General features: G+C 45.0%; 1 protein-coding gene across 2 annotated transcripts; it reads left to right on the forward strand.

Moving 5' to 3' along the window:
- SSX1 (SSX family member 1) lies at positions 985 to 13037 on the forward strand. 2 transcript variants are annotated; one of them, NM_001278691.2, is made up of 9 exons: positions 985 to 1025; positions 1644 to 1729; positions 2815 to 2903; positions 3339 to 3453; positions 4129 to 4224; positions 7359 to 7408; positions 9375 to 9510; positions 11880 to 11984; positions 12447 to 13037. In NM_001278691.2, the coding sequence occupies exons 3-8, from the start codon at positions 2835 to 2837 to the stop codon at positions 11978 to 11980; spliced, it is 567 nt and encodes a 188-aa protein (NP_001265620.1). In that variant the 5' UTR covers positions 985 to 1025; positions 1644 to 1729; positions 2815 to 2834; the 3' UTR covers positions 11981 to 11984; positions 12447 to 13037. The 2 variants fall into 2 exon arrangements, with proteins under 2 accessions (NP_001265620.1, NP_005626.1); NM_005635.4 differs by lacking the exon at positions 1644 to 1729.

Below are 15879 nucleotides of genomic sequence, written 5' to 3' on the forward strand. Positions count from 1 at the left end.
ATGGGGGTCTCACTATGTATCCCAGATTGTTCTGGAACTCCTGGCCTCAAGTGATCCTTCCACCTCCTGCCTCAGCCTCTCAAAGTGTTGGGATTACAGGCATGAGCCACTGGGACTGGCTCATTGAAATTTTTCTTTCTTTCTCTTTCTCTCTCTCTCTCTTTTTAAAGACAAGATCTCGCTCTGTGGCCCAGGTAGGCAGGAGTAGCCAGATCATGGCTCACTGCAACCTCGTACTCCTGGGCTCAAGCTATCCTCCTACCTCAGCCTCCTGAGTAACGGACTACAGGCACACCACCCCACCTCGCTAATTTTATTTATTTTTTTTGTAGAGAAAAGAGACAGGGTATTGCTCTGTTGCCCAGGGTGGGGTGCAGTGGCATGATCATGGCTCACTGCAACCTCTGCCTCCCAGGTTCAAGTGATCCTCCAGCTGTGGCCTCCCTAAGTGCTGGGATTACAACCGTGAGCCGCCGCACCGGCCCAAATTTCTTACGTCACTACAGAGTTCCTAGGAAAAAATCCCATACCTGAAAAAGATAGAAACTGACAGGAAGGATTTGAGATGATGACCTGCTTCATATACACTCCTTATTAAAACTGGATAACAATGCACCACCGAGGAGGTGGGGAGGGATAGGAAAAATGAAAAGAGAAAATCAGCGCATGCGTACTCTGATTTGGGAAGACTCCAAAGAGAAAATCAGAGCATGCGTACTCTGAACTTGGAGTAGCCAATCCCAGGGGATGCTTTAGGCGGGAAAGTCAGAGTTTCTGCCTCCATTTTGAGAAGGTTCTGTCCCTAGAGCCTAGACTGATAGACCCCACATCAGCTTGGCTTGTCCCGCCTACTGTTCTGACTTCTGATTGGCCAGATGGAGTTCACTAACTGCCCTGATTGGTCCATCATCCTGGAGCAATGACATTGCAGAATATTTTCTCCTCCTCCAGCCACACTTTGTCACCAACTGCTGCCAACTCGCCACCACTGCTGCCGACCTCGCAACCACTGCTTTGTCTCTGAAGTAGGTTCTCTTTAAGGGACACCCTAGATGGGCTAATCGGGGCAGATAGAAAAGGAGGAAGCCTCTGTAGGGCCGTCAAGTGCTTGGGGTTCCGAAAATCTTGAGGACTGAAAGACAACTAATGCCTTTCAGGACGATCATCATGGAGGATCCTCCCGCCTCGGCCTTGGGTCTACAGGCCTGTATTATCCCACCCCTGTTTTTTTTTTTTTTTTTTTAGTAGAGACGGGGATTTGTTATGTTGACCAGGCTGGCCTCAACCGCCTGGGCTCAAGCAATCCTCCCGCCTTGGCCTCGGGACTACAGGCACGAACCACCCCACCCTCACTAATTTTTTTTATTTTTTATTTTTTTAGTACAGACGGTTTTGCTATGTTGGCCAGGCTGGCCTCTGCCGCCTGGGCTTAAGCAATCCTTCCGCCTCGGCCCTGGGACTACAGAAGTGCACCATCCTGCCCATGCTTTTTTTTTTTTTTTTTTTAGTAGAAACCAGGTTTCACTATGTTGGCCAGGCTGGCCTCAACCTCCTGGGCTCAAGCGATCCTCACACCTTGGCCTCAGGACTACAGATGTGTGCCATTCCGCCCCTGCTAGTTTTGTTGTTGTTGTTCTTTTTAGTAGAGACAGGGTTTCCTTATGTTGGCCGAACTGGGCTTGACCTCCTCGGCTCAAGTGATCCTCCCACCTCGGCCTCGGAACTACAGGCAAGAACCACCTCGCTGATGTTATTATTTTTGTTGTTATTATTAGTAGTAGAAATGGGGTTTTGCTATGTTGGCCAGGCTGGCCTCAACCTCCTGGGCTCAAGAGATCCTCTTGCCTCGGCCTCGGAACTACAGGCGAGCACCACCCCGCCCCCACTAATACTTTTTATTTTATTTTATTTTTTTTAGTAGAGGGTTTTTCTAGGTTGGCTAGGCTGGTATCAACCTCGTGGGCTCAAGCGATCCGCCCCCCCTTGGCCAAAGAGCTGAGATGTTATAGGCCTGTGCCACCGCCCCCAGCTAATTTTTTGTGTGGTTGTTTTTTTTTTTTTTTTTTTTTTTTTGTAGAGATGAGGGGTTTGCTATGTTTCCCAGGCTGGTCTCAACCTCCTGGGCTCAAGAGATCTGCACGCCTCGGCCTCCCAAAATGCTGGGATTACAGGCATGAGCCACTGCGCCTGGCCGATTGCTGCAAATTGAAACACCCCACATTTTCTCTAAGTGATGGCAGGCTCTTGTAATCTCAGAGATTCTAGCTCTCTTCCTTCTAATAATTTACAAATAACCCAGTAATAGCTTCTAAATCTGTTCATATTAGTGAAGGTCATTTCTCTTCAACAGAACAGAACCCCCCCATCCCTCTGCCTGATCAGATCCATCACCAGAAAGACCACGTTATGTCTGGGACTCACTTCCCTCCCTTTATTTATTGAGTGGGGGTGTCAGAACGCCCCCATTCAATAAAATTACACAGTCACGTCCCTGCCTCCCCAGCAAGGGTCTGTACATCTTTCAGGGTAAGCCTAGCCCCAGGGAAACTACTAACAACACTAGCCAACCCCCTCCCAAAGACTCAAGGCTGCTAGGAAACCTGTCATCCCCAAGCAATACTTCTCCCAGAGACTCCAGGCTCCCTGTTTTCATCTGACTTCTCTCCATGTCCTTACCCATGGACAGGTAAGCCCCGAATGGAGAAATGCAACCCCTAATTCCAGGTGACTGAGTGTGGCCGGGCTTCACTGATTTCTCCCTCCATAGGACCAAGGGTCCTGTAGCTAGAAAGTCTCAGGCTGTTTCTCTTGCAGGTGAGACTGCTCCTGGTGCCATGAACGGAGACGACACCTTTGCAAAGAGACCCAGGGATGATGCTAAAGCATCAGAGAAGAGAAGCAAGGTGACGTGACCTGGAGGGGGCAGAGCAGTGGTCCAGGGGACAGAGTAGGGTGACCAGGTTTCTGAGGAGGGGAGGACAGAGGTACTGGGGACAAGGAGCAGGGTCTCGGGGGAGATCTGGACCCTTGGGAGCCTCCCACCTGTGTTCTGTCATCACCTAGCATCCCTGGAGACAAGTCTCTGACCTTGCTCTACATTTGGTAACTCTCAGTCCATTCTGGAAGGTGGGAAGAGAGCCAGACAGCAGCATTAAAGCCCTAATGTGTGCCACGGGAGAAGCTAGGGTAGGTCCCCCATGGTCTCTCAGTTAGCCATGGCATCAACCAGGACGGATTATCATCCTCACTTCCCAGATCCAGCACACAGGAAGCGGCTCCAGCTGAATGGCAGACATACCTAGCTGAGTCACTGACAAATTTTATTTTATTTTTTTTAGGCCTTTGATGATATTGCCACATACTTCTCTAAGAAAGAGTGGAAAAAGATGAAATACTCGGAGAAAATCAGCTATGTGTATATGAAGAGAAACTATAAGGCCATGACTAAACTAGGTAACAGAAAGTTCTAGGAACAGACAAGTCTGGGGATACATGAGCATCCCTTTTCCTGCTTTGGCTACTTCTTAGGCTGCAGAAAGTACCCCACATTTTCCTTTTGTGCAGGGAAAAATCGCAAGGCAGCTTCTGGGGGTTCTGCTCTTCTGTATCCTGTCAGAGCTGAGGGCAGGGACTGGCCATAGTGGAGCTTGTACCTGGACCTTGCACTTTTCTCTCCCTTAGGCGTCTGTTCTGATCAGCCCAGCTGTCTCTGTGGCATTGCAGCACACCTCCCACCCTACCTTCCTCCTCTCAGCTTGTCTCTTTCTCTCTCTCTCCCTTTTTTTTTTTTTTTTTTTTTTTTGAGTCAGAGTCTCACTCTGTCACCTAGGCTAGAGTGTAGTAGTGCAATCATAGCTCAATGCAGCCTCGAACTCCTGGGCTCAAGCAATCCTTCTGCCCAGCCGATGGAGTAGCTGAGGATATGAGCACATGCCTCCATGCCCAACTAATTTTATTTTATAATTTGTAGATATGGGGGTCTCTCTATGTTACACAGGCTCATCTTGAAATCCTGGCCTCAAACAATCCTCCTGCCTCAGCCTCCCAAAGTGCCGGTACTACAGACATGAGCCACCATGCCAGGCCTAAGTTTGTCCCTTAAGGAATAAACATTTTGCTTCTTTCTAGGTTTCAAAGTCACCCTCCCACCTTTCATGTGTAATAAACAGGCCACAGACTTCCAGGGGAATGATTTTGATAATGACCATAACCGCAGGATTCAGGGTGAGTAGATGGGAAGTGGCTGGAAAGGTCTCCTGAAGCCCAATTGCTTTTCAGCTCAGCTACCTGGGAAAGATCCTCTGGCATTTGTTCCCTCATACACATCAGGGTTGAGTGAAAAAAAAAATTGCATACAGAAAGTTAACTACAGAGGCCATTCATAAAATTCTAAAACATGCAAAAGTAATATGTACTTTCATGGATAATAAGTAAATGGTAAATGCATAAAAACATAAATGCGAATAAAAAGGCATCAGATTGAGGAGACTGGCTGTAAATGGAGAAGGGGCGGGGGCAGGGATTGGTGAGTGCTGCACAGACAGCTTCAGTCATGACTTGTTGATAGTGTGTTTTGTTTTGTTTCGTTTTGTTTTGTTTTTGTTTTGAACTGGAGATTTGCTCTTGTCGCCCAGGCTGGAGTACAATGGCACAGTCTCAGCCCACTACAACCTCTGCCTCCCGGGTTCAAACGATTCTCCTGCCTCAGCCTCCTGAGTAGCTGGGATTACAGGCGCCCGCCACCATGCCCACCTAATTTTTGTATTTTTAGTAGAGATGGGGTTTCACCATGTTGACCAGGCTGGTCTCAAACTCCTGACCTCAGGTGATCCACCCACCTCAGCCTCCCAAAGTGCTGGGATTACAGGCGTGAGCCACTGCACCCAGGCCGTTTCTAGTGTTTCTAACATTCTAAATAAATAAATCAGATCTAACATAGTCATGGGGTAATGTTGAGATGCGACTGAACTCAATATTATTCCCCATACTATTCTGTGTGTTTGAAACATTTCTTTTTTAAAAGACATGTTGTTCTTGCTAAACACTGTTTTTTTTTATTATACTTTAAGTTTTAGGGTACATGTGCACAATGTGCAGGTTAGTTACATGTGTATACATGTGCCATGCTGGTGCGCTGCACCCATTAACTCATCATCTAGCATTAGGTATATCTCCCAACGCCATCCCTTCCCCCTCTCCCCACCCCACAACAGTCCCCAGAGTGTGATGTTCCCCTTCCCGTGTCCTTGTGTTCTCATTGTTCAATTCCCACCTATGAGTGAGAATATGCGGTGTTTGGTTTTTTGTTCTTGCAATAGTTTACTGAGAATGATGATTTCCAATTTCATCCATGTCCCTGCAAAGGACATGAACTCATCATTTTTTATGGCTGCATAGTATTCCATGGTGTATATGTGCCACATTTTCTTAATCCAGTCTATCATTGTTGGACATTTGGGTTGGTTCCAAGTCTTTGCTATTGTGAATAGTGCCACAATAAACATATGTGTGCATGTGTCTTTATAGCAGCATGATTTATAGTCCTTTGGGTATATACCCAGTAATGGGATGGCTGGGTCAAATGGTATTTCTAGTTCTAGATTCCTGAGGAATCTCCACACTGACTTCCACAATGGTTGAACTAGTTTACAGTCCCACCAACAGTGTAAAAGTGTTCCTATTTCTCCACATCCTCTCCAGCACCTGTTGTTTCCTGACTTTTTAATGATTGCCATTCTAACTGGTGTGAGATGGTATCTCATTGTGGTTTTGATTTGCATTTCTCTGATGGCCAGTGATGGTGAGCATTTTTTCATGTGTTTTTTAGCTGCATAAATGTCTTCTTTTGAGAAGTGTCTGTTCATGCCCTTTGCCCACTTTTTGATGGGGTTGTTTGTTTTTTTCTTGTAAATTTGTTTGAGTTCATTGTAGATTCTGGATATTAGCCCTTTGTCAGATGAGTAGGTTGCAAAAATTTCCTCCCATTCTGTAGGTTGCCTGTTCACTCTGGTGGTAGTTTCTTTTGCTGTGCAGAAGCTCTTTAGTTTAATTAGATCCCATTTGTCAATTTTGGCTTTTGTTGCCATTGCTTTTGGTGTTTTAGACATGAAGTTAGGCAGGAGAAGGAAATAAAGGGTATTCAATTAGGAAAAGAGGAAGTCAAATTGTCCCTGTTTGCAGACGACATGATCGTATACCTAGAAAACCCCATTGTCTCAGCCCAAAATCTCCTTAAGCTGATAAGCAACTTCAGCAAAATCTCAGGATACAAAATCAATGTACAAAAATCACAAGCATTCTTATACACCAACAACAGACAAACAGATAGCTAAACACTGTTAATGAATCAAAGGACAGTTAAGACAATTTTAAAAGTGAAAAAAAAAGAAACTATTAAAAGTATAGATCCACCAAAAACTTCCAGACATTGTTTCATTAACAGCATGTAGATATTGGATAAATATCTTAAGAGAGAGGGTGATGAACACATGTAATAAAGATTGCTGTTTCTCCATACTTTATTGAAACCAAATAGTCTTCACATTCCCAAACAACCCCAATTCTCCATGATGAGCTTGGAAGTGAGTTTGAAAGAGTGACCCCTCATCCAACACACAGAGAGCTTTCCCAATTGTCAGTGAGCGGAGATAACATAGGATGAAAAAAAGACAGGTTCTTGGGTAGAGATCTTTGTGCATTTCAGGAATAGAAAGGGGACATATTTGTTTACTTGCTCTTCTGCTCTGACAATACAATCATAAGACAAGGTCAGAGTGTCTAAACTGTCTTCAATATCTCTATTACTCCCCAGCTAAACAGGCCAGAATCAACCATCTCCCACAATCACTATAAGAGATCTGAAACTCCAGTGCTTGAGTATCTGCCAAGTTTTGACATTAAAGGAGTGTCTTTATACTGAAAATATTTCAGAGCCACTGGACTAAATCATCCATGGTTCATCACACATTTAACAGCTTAATTCACATACCATAAGATCCACCCATTTGAAGTGTACAGTGATTTTTAGTTGTTGCACATCTTGAGTGATTACAGTTTACATTCCCAACCAATCAATTTAATTATTTGGGAAAAAGTAAAAGATATGTAATGGAATAAGATGAGACTGTGATGGGATTTAACCCCCATTTGAGAAACCATGTGATGTAAAATTCTGAATTGATGCCACAGATAAATGAACCAACCATGACTAAACATAATTCAGAAGCAAATCTCAAATAACTCCTCAACAATGAGTGGACTCATAACCTCTGCTGCAGAATGCCCTCATGCAACGGAAGTCTCTCCAGAGTTTGGAAATCTTTACCAACAAAGAAAAATTCTGATGTGTTCTCTTTCAGTTGAACATCCTCAGATGACTTTCGGCAGGCTCCACAGAATCATCCCGAAGGTGAGTATCTCTCAAATCTAAAGGACCAGAGAACCTTTTTCCTTTCATGGATGTGAACACTGATAAGACAGGGAGAATATCAAAAACGCCCTCATTGCCTCTTTCTCCCCATGTCTATCACAACAACTTATGTAGCACCGACGGCTTGATAATACTAACAGTTGTGATCCTTAATACTTCTTTTGTTTTCATAGTGATGCCAGATACTATTTTAAGCAGTTCACATGGATTAATTAATTTAATCCATAAGAAGACCTCTATGACATTGTTTCTTTTATTATCTCCAAATAGTAATGAGTCACACACTTCGGTTGTCATCCATATAAAAGCCATGTGACTTGGCACAAATCTTCTAAGTTATCGGAGCTCCAGATTCCTAGTCCATGAAATGGAAGTAAAGAATAATAGTTCATGTTATAGACCATAGTTATCAGCAACATAATAATAAAATGAGGCTATCGGGGTACAGAGATGTTAAAGAATTTTCCTGGGGCACAGTGTCAGTGGTAGTCTAATCCAGAGCTCCAAGCCATTTAAAGCTCATTCACGTTTGTATTTGTTTATGAAGTTCAGATGTTGCTCACTAGGGCTTTACCCCATAGGGCCTACTGGTGCTTCCATTGAGACACCCACTCTCGCAACAGGAAGGACCAGCTGGCCTCTGCTCTGTTACCGGGGCCACTCCCATGGCTTAGGAATCGCTTTGACTGTTGGCCCCTCCTTGAGCTCCTTGAGGGCTTTGTCTGCACCTGGGGCATCCGAGAAGCCCCAGTCCCAGCCCAGGGGATCCCTCAGAGGCCCCTGAATGAGTGATTCTGGAAGTGCAGATTCAGCTCTGGTTTAGAAGGTAAAGGGATCTGGGAGTTGGGTTGCCAGTATGGAGAACGAATTCAAAGAAGGATCCAGAAAGGTATTCAATGTTATTATTATTACATTTGAACAATGTTTACAAGCTCAGAGAGGATTTTCCCTTAGCTTATTTTACATGTATTATTCACTATTTCATAAGTGAGGAAGCTGAGTAAAAAGTAGCTTAAGGGCCGGGCGCGGGGGCTCACGACTGTAATCCCAGCAATTTAGGAGGTTGAGGCGGGCAGATTACGAGGTCAAGAGATCGAGACCGTCCTGGCCAACATGGTGAAACCTCATCTCTACTAAAAATACAAAACTTAGCAGGGCGTGGTAGCGCCTGCCTGTAATCCTAGCTACTCAGGAGGCTGAGACAGGGGAATCGCTTGAACCGGGGAGGAGGAGATTGCAGTGAGCCAAGATCGCACCACTGCACTCTAGCCTGGTGACAGAGCGAGACTTTGTCAAAAAAAAAAAAAGAGTAGCTTAATATTGTTGGTCAGTGACACATCCCAGTGTAACCAGAATTGGTATGGGTACCACCTCACTGAATTCCACATTCAATGTTGGTGCCTCGGTAGGGTGGTATGCCAGATCTGGTACTGCTTTCTTTGCTGCCTAGATTAATTTCAGCAAACCATTTCTTTACCTCTCCCTTCCCTGTATTCATCTCCCCACACCATCTTTCCCAGCAGTGTTTTGTCCCCTCCCTATGTTTTTACATTTACTCTCCCAGCAGCTGTCTACGAGCTTATATGGGATCCCTTGTATTTTATAGAAGCTCTTCCTTTTGTAGACCTTGTGAATTCTTAGAATGCTATTTTTCTCCAAATATTCTGTGTACTACACTCTCAACTACATGGAGATTTCTGCTGTTTCCACGAATGTCAGTCTTAAAAGAGTGTGAAGATAAGCATTCTAGCCCTGGAAACTGCATTCATTTAGGCCATTCCTTTTGCTTCTAATCTCCCAGGTTTGTCTCATTTAGGCAAGTGTAACTCTCCCCGCGTTGTTGAGAACATTCATTAAGGTAATGCATGTGAAGACGCTTTGTAAGCTCTAAAGCACTATAGAAATGTCACTGATACTGTTTATCTGTAACCTTCACATTATAAAGATCATGCCCAAGAAGCCAGCAGAGGACGAAAATGATTCGAAGGGAGTGTCAGAAGCATCTGGCCCACAAAACGATGGGAAACAACTGCACCCCCCAGGAAAAGCAAATATTTCTGAGAAGATTAATAAGAGATCTGGTAAGAGGAAATGATTTGGGAACAACTTCTCTGGCTTTTCTGGCTATGTTCAGGTGTGTGGACTGGGTGTGTGGCATGGATCCCAGACAAGCCTGGGTCCAGGCTGGGCTGAAGAGCTCGCCCAGCTCCAGATGAGATGTTAGACATGACTTCCAGAGATGCAGACTGGAGTTGTCATCCATATAAAAAACCACGTGACTTGGGACAAGTCTTCCAAATTTTCTCAGCTCCAGATTCCTAGTCCATAAGATGGAAATAAAGAATCATAGTTCGTAAATTGTTTGGAGGCATTAAATTAAATCCTGAAGGCCTGATGACATGAAAGGTGCTCAAGCGATTCTATCTGTGATAACCTGGGATCATATCTTACTCAGCTCAATGCCTGATACCCAATACAGGTGTACTTCAGAGATATTGCAGGTTGGGTTCCAGAGCACTGCAATAAAGTGAGTCACACACATTGTTTTTCGTTTGTTTCGCAGTGCATAAAAACATTATGTTTACACTATAGTGTACTCTACTAAGTGTGCAATAGCATTATGTCTAAAAATGTACATACCTTAATTTTAAAATAATTTATTGTTAAAAAATGCTAACAATCTTCTGAGCCTTCAGTGAGTTACACTCTTCTTGTTGGTGGAGGGTCTTGCCTCGGTGTTGATGGCTGCTGGCTGATCAAGGTGGTGGTTGCTGAAGGGTGGAGTGGCTGTGGCAGTTTCTTAAAAGAACACAACAATGAAATTTGCCACATCGATTAGCTCTCCCTTTCATGAAAGATTTCTCTGTAGTATGTGATGCTATTCGATAGCATTTAGCCACTTTAGAACTTCTTTCAAAGTTGGAGTCAATCATCTCTAGCTATGAAAGTTTTAGATGGCATCTACTTCCGATAAAAGGCTGTTTAATCTATATTGAAAATCTGTTGTTTAGTGTAGCCACGTTCATCAGTGATCTTAGCTAGATCTTCTGGATAACTTGCTGCAGCTTCTCCATCAGTGTTTGCTGCTACACCTTGCACTTTTATGTTATGGGGACAGCTTCTTTCCTTAAACCTCACAAACCAACCTCTGCTAGTTTCACACGTTTCTTCACCTCTCTCAGCTTTCATGGGCTTGAAGAGAGTTCAGGTCTTGCTCTGAATTAGACTTTGGCTTAAGGGAATGTTGTGGCTGGTTTCATGTTCTATCCTGATCACTCAAACTTTCTCTATTGCAGCAGTAAGGCTGTTTTGCTTTCTTATTCTTGTGTTCACTGGGTATTAGTATTATTATTTCCTTCAAGAACTTTTCCTTTGCATTATATACTATTCTTTCTTTCAAGAACTTCTCCTTTGCATGCACAGCTTGGCTATTTGGTGCAAGAGGCCTAGCTTTCATCCTGTCTCGGCTTTCAGCATGCCTTCCTCACTAAGCTTAGCCATTTCTAGATTCTGATTTAATGTGAGAGAATGCGACTCTTCCTTTCATTTGAACAGTTAGTGGCCATTTTAGGATTGTTAACTGTCCTAATTTCAGTATCGCTGTATCTCAGGGAATAGGTAGGCCCAAGAAAAGGAAAAGAGATGGGGAAGAGCTCATTGGTGGAGCAGTCAGAATACACACAACATTGATCAATTACGTTCGTTATCTTCTCTAGGTGGAGTTCCTGTTACCCCCAGAACATTGACACACAACAGGGTGACTATAGTCAATAATAACTTAATCGTACATTTAAAAATAACGAAAAGAGTGTAATTGGATTGTTTGTAACACAAGGATAAATGCTTGATGGGATGGATACCCTATTTTCCATGATGTGATTATTACGCATTGCATACGTGTATCAAAATATCTCACGTACCCTATAAGTATATACACCTACTGTGTATCCACAAAAATAAATTATTTTAAAAGACTAAAAAACAACAAAAACAATTGCAATAATAACATCAAAGCTCACTGATCACAGATCACCATAACAGATATAATAATAATGGAAAAGTGTAAAATTGGTGAGAATTCCCCCCAAAAAATTACAGTGTCTGCATAGCACTATAAAAATGAGGTGCCATAAAACAAGGTATGCCTGTGTGCCCTTAACAAATACGTGCTGAATGAAAGGAGGTATCGGTGAATGTTCCCGTAAGTGAAGAGGTTGGTAATCTAAACGTCACAACAGAAGGAGCCAGAAGCTAAAACATTAATTGGTATTTGTCGTGTATTGGTGTGGGTCTAAGGCCTCAGCCTCTCTAAGCCAGAGAATGTGAAAAACTGGATAAAGAAGGCCCATGGGCACTTGGGAGGGAGGAGGCATCTCCTTTTTTTGAGAAAACAGAGCCTAACACTCTTCAACGTACCCAACCCTCATCTTCCAACTCTTCTCCATCATAGGACCCAAAAGGGGGAAACATGCCTGGACCCACAGACTGCGTGAGAGAAAGCAGCTGGTGATTTATGAAGAGATCAGTGACCCTGAGGAAGATGACGAGTAACTCCGTAAGTGAACCTTCGGCTCACCCTCCACATCCCTGCAGATGTGCTATTCTGTTATGGTACTGGTATCCCATCTTGTCATTTGTTTCCCAAATCATTCCTTTCTCATAATTTTCTACTGTACAGCATTGAGGCTGAATGATGAGATTTCCCATGCTCTTTCTACTCCCTACCCTGTATATCCAGGGATCCTCACCACCCAGGATGCTGTGGGTTCCCAAACCCCAGGTCAGCCCTGATATGTGGCCACACCTTCTTCTAGCCTAGGAATGCATAAACCAGGCGAGGAAGTCACTGTGGCATGAGCAGATGGTTCACTTCGAGGAACCATGGAAGGCGTGTCCAGGTCCTGGGGTAGGGCAGAATCAGAGTGTGCAGGGTCTGCAGGTCAGGAGGAGTTGAGGTTGAGTTATTGGGCAGTGGGAACTCGCTGTCACTTACTTTCCTTCCCTCTTCTCGCCTCAGCCTGGGGGATACGACACATGCCCTTGATGAGAAGCAGAACGTGGTGACCTTTCACGAACATGGGCATGGCTGCGGCTCCCTCGTCATCAGGTGCATAGCAAGTGAAAGCAAGTGTTCACAACGGTGAAACTTGAGCGTCATTTTTCTTAGTGTGCCAAGAGTTCGATGTTAGTGTTTCCATTGTATTTTCTTACAGTGTGCCATTCTGTTAGATACTATCCTTATAATTGATGAGCAAGACATACTGAATGCATATTTCGGTTTGTGTATCCATGCACCTACGTCAGAAAACAAGTATTGTCAGGTATTCTCTCCATAGAACAGCACTATCCTCATCTCTCCCCAGATGTGACTACTGAGGGCAGTTCTGAGTGTTTAATTTCAGACTTTTTCCTCTGCATTTACACACACACACACACACACACGCACACACACACACCAAGTACCAGTATAAGCATCTCCCATCTGCTTTTCCCATTGCCATGCGTCCTGGTCAAGCCCCCCTCACTCTGTTTCCTGTTCAGCATGTACTCCCCTCATCCGATTCCCCTGTATCAGTCACTGACAGTTAATAAACCTTTGCAAACGTTCCCCAGTTGTTTGTTCCTCTCATTATTGTGCACACAGCTTTGTGCACATGTGTGAATATTTCTTTAGAAAGATTCTTAGAAGTGGAATTGCCATGTCAAAGGAGTCATTTATTCAACAAAACCCTAATGAGTGTGTCCTCGTGCTGAGCGCTGTTCTAGGTGCTGGAGAGACATCAGGGAACAAGACGGGGAGATGTTCCTGACCACCATTCTAGAGGAGGATGTTTCCAGTTGTTGGCTTTCTTTGTTTCTTTGTTTGTTTGTTTCTTCTGGAGATGGGGTCTTGCTCTGTCCAGGCTGGAGTGCAGTGGCACGATCATAGCTCAATGCAGCCTTGAACTGCTGGGCTCAAGCGATCCTCCCACCTTGGCCTCCTAAAGTACTAGGATTACAGGCATGAGCCACCGCGCCTGGCCTCCAGTTTTTATTTTGATAGGGACTATACACTTCAGTCCTGGAGCAGGATTCTGCAGCAGGTGGTTGGGCAATTTGGCCTTCGCTCTCTGAACAATTTTCGGGTTCTAGGGCTGGGATGGTCCATTTGGGAGTATGTGGGAAGAGACACAGATGAAATCGTCATCTGGGGAACATGGAGGAATGAGGAAGATGCGTGCACTGTAGACCCTGTGATGGCCAGGGAATAGAAGAGTCCACTTAGTCTCCATGCAGGGGAGCAACGGTGGGAAGGTCCCCTGGACAGAAGCATGAGACTGCCCATCAAGGGTCTCACCACCCAAGGGCCTGGGGGCTGGGGTGGGGACGATGATTTGGGAATGGGACAGTTCTTTCTCACAGGTACCAATGCACGGTGCAGAGGGGAAACAGTTGTGGGGAAGGGAAGGGCAGAGGGGAGTCTATTTTAGCACAAAGCATTGTGTGTGAATGGAGACATCAAAGCTCCATTCACACACCATGGACTTGAAACACCAGCCCCAGGTGGAGGCAGGATTGGAGCTGTTTTGACCGTCCATAGCCCATCACCTTGGCCTCCTGGTTCTCCCAGCCTTAGAAGGAGCACACTATGATCATTATGCCTATATGACAGATGAGAGACGGAGTCCCAGAGAGATGGTAGGCGTCTTGTCACAGGTCCTACAGCTGGCAGGTGCAGGAGGAGCTGAGTTTGGAGCTCACTGACTTCAGAAACATTAAGGAGGACAGGTGTGTGTGGTGGAGGAAGGGAGAACTGAACAAGTCCCGGGTTCTGTCCCGTCACAAGGTAGAGGCTGTGGGTTCATTTTCCAAGACAAGGAACCCTTAGAGATGGAGAGTGCAGGGAGGAAGAGGCAATCGTGGACATAGTGGGACAGTGGGAGACAGAGATGTGCAGCGTAGGGAGAAGAGGGGCAGGCAAAGAAGCAGGGGATACCCAAGACCAAGTGTGGGCTGTCACAGCCACCAGAGGGAGAGGGTGCCAGGAAGGAGGTTGTGGGGCTCCAGGAGCAACAGAGGTTCCCCAGATCTGTGAGCACGCCCTGCCTGGCACTGCAGGAAGAGGTGGCTGCCCCCCAGGTCAGTGTGGACGTGCCTCTACCTGTGTCTCAGAGGAAACAAATTCTATTTTATCCCAATATAGTTCTGTATTACACAAATGTAACATTCGGCTACTAGATATCAGGTGCCTTATCCTCCATGCAAACAGAGGAGAGGATACCCAAAAAGAGATACTGAAGGATTTGGTTTTTCTTTCTCCCTGGGATGATGGGATCCATAAGTTGGGTCCCCCAGCCCACAAGACAGGTGCCAGGAAGGGTGACTGGAAGAGTGTGAGTCATGACAGGGAACATTTTTCCTTAGGTTTCTTGGGTATATAAAGCTCCCGACTGTCTATCATGGATAGATAAAGAGTGAACATGGTCCCCTCTCCACAAATGTGTTTCTTTCCTTCATTATTACTGTGAAGTGCCGAAGATACACCAAGTCCTGATACATTACTTTTTTTTTTTTTTGAGACAGAGTCTCGCTCTGTTGTCCAGGCTGGAATGCAGTGGTGAGATGTCGGCTCCCTGCAACCTCTGCCTACCAGGTTCAAGCGATTCTCCTGCCTCAATCTCCAGAGTCGCTGGGAACACAGGCGCGTGCCACCATTCCCAACTAATTTTTTATATTTTTAGTAGAAACGGGGTTTCACTGTGTCAGCCAGGTTGATCTTCTGGCCTCGTGATCTGATGGCCTCAGCGTCCCAAAGTGCTGGGATTACATGCGTGAGCTAGTGCGCCCAGTGATGCATTACTTTTTTATGTCTGTGTTTTTTTATATTTTATTTTTTATTTTTTTATTTTTTTTGAGACAGGATCGCACTCTGTCTCCCAGGTTGGAGTGCAGTTCTGCAATTTCAGCTCACTGCAGCTTCGATCTCCCAGGCTCAAGGGATTCTCCTACTTCAGCTTACGAACTACCTGGGACTACAGGCACTTGCCACCACACCCAGCTAATTTTTGTATTTTCTGTAGAGACAGGATCCCACTATATTGCCCAGGCTGGTCTCTATCTACTGGCTTCAGGCAATCCTCCTGCCTCAGCCTCCCAAAGTGTTAAGATGACAAGTGTGAGCCACCTCGCCAGGCCTTCGCTTTCTTTAATGAACAATTATCAGAGTTTCATCTTAGAGGCAAAAGTGGCTACTGCCAGCCAATCTGAGTGTTGTGTCGGAGGGGAATCTGGCTGGTTCAGACGTTTCAAATGAACTTTTAAATTAACCTACCTGATGATTACCCTAAGGCCCTTTCTCGCTCCATGTTTTTTTGATTATGGGTTTGGAGTTTTTCAGAAGCTTTCCTACAAAGAACATCTCCTGACTGGGCGCAGTGACTCACGCTGTATTCCCAGCACTTTGGGAGGCC

The sequence above is a fragment of the Homo sapiens genome, chromosome X (assembly GCF_000001405.40).
Source record: "Homo sapiens chromosome X, GRCh38.p14 Primary Assembly".
In the NCBI taxonomy this organism is placed as follows: Eukaryota; Metazoa; Chordata; class Mammalia; order Primates; family Hominidae; genus Homo; species Homo sapiens.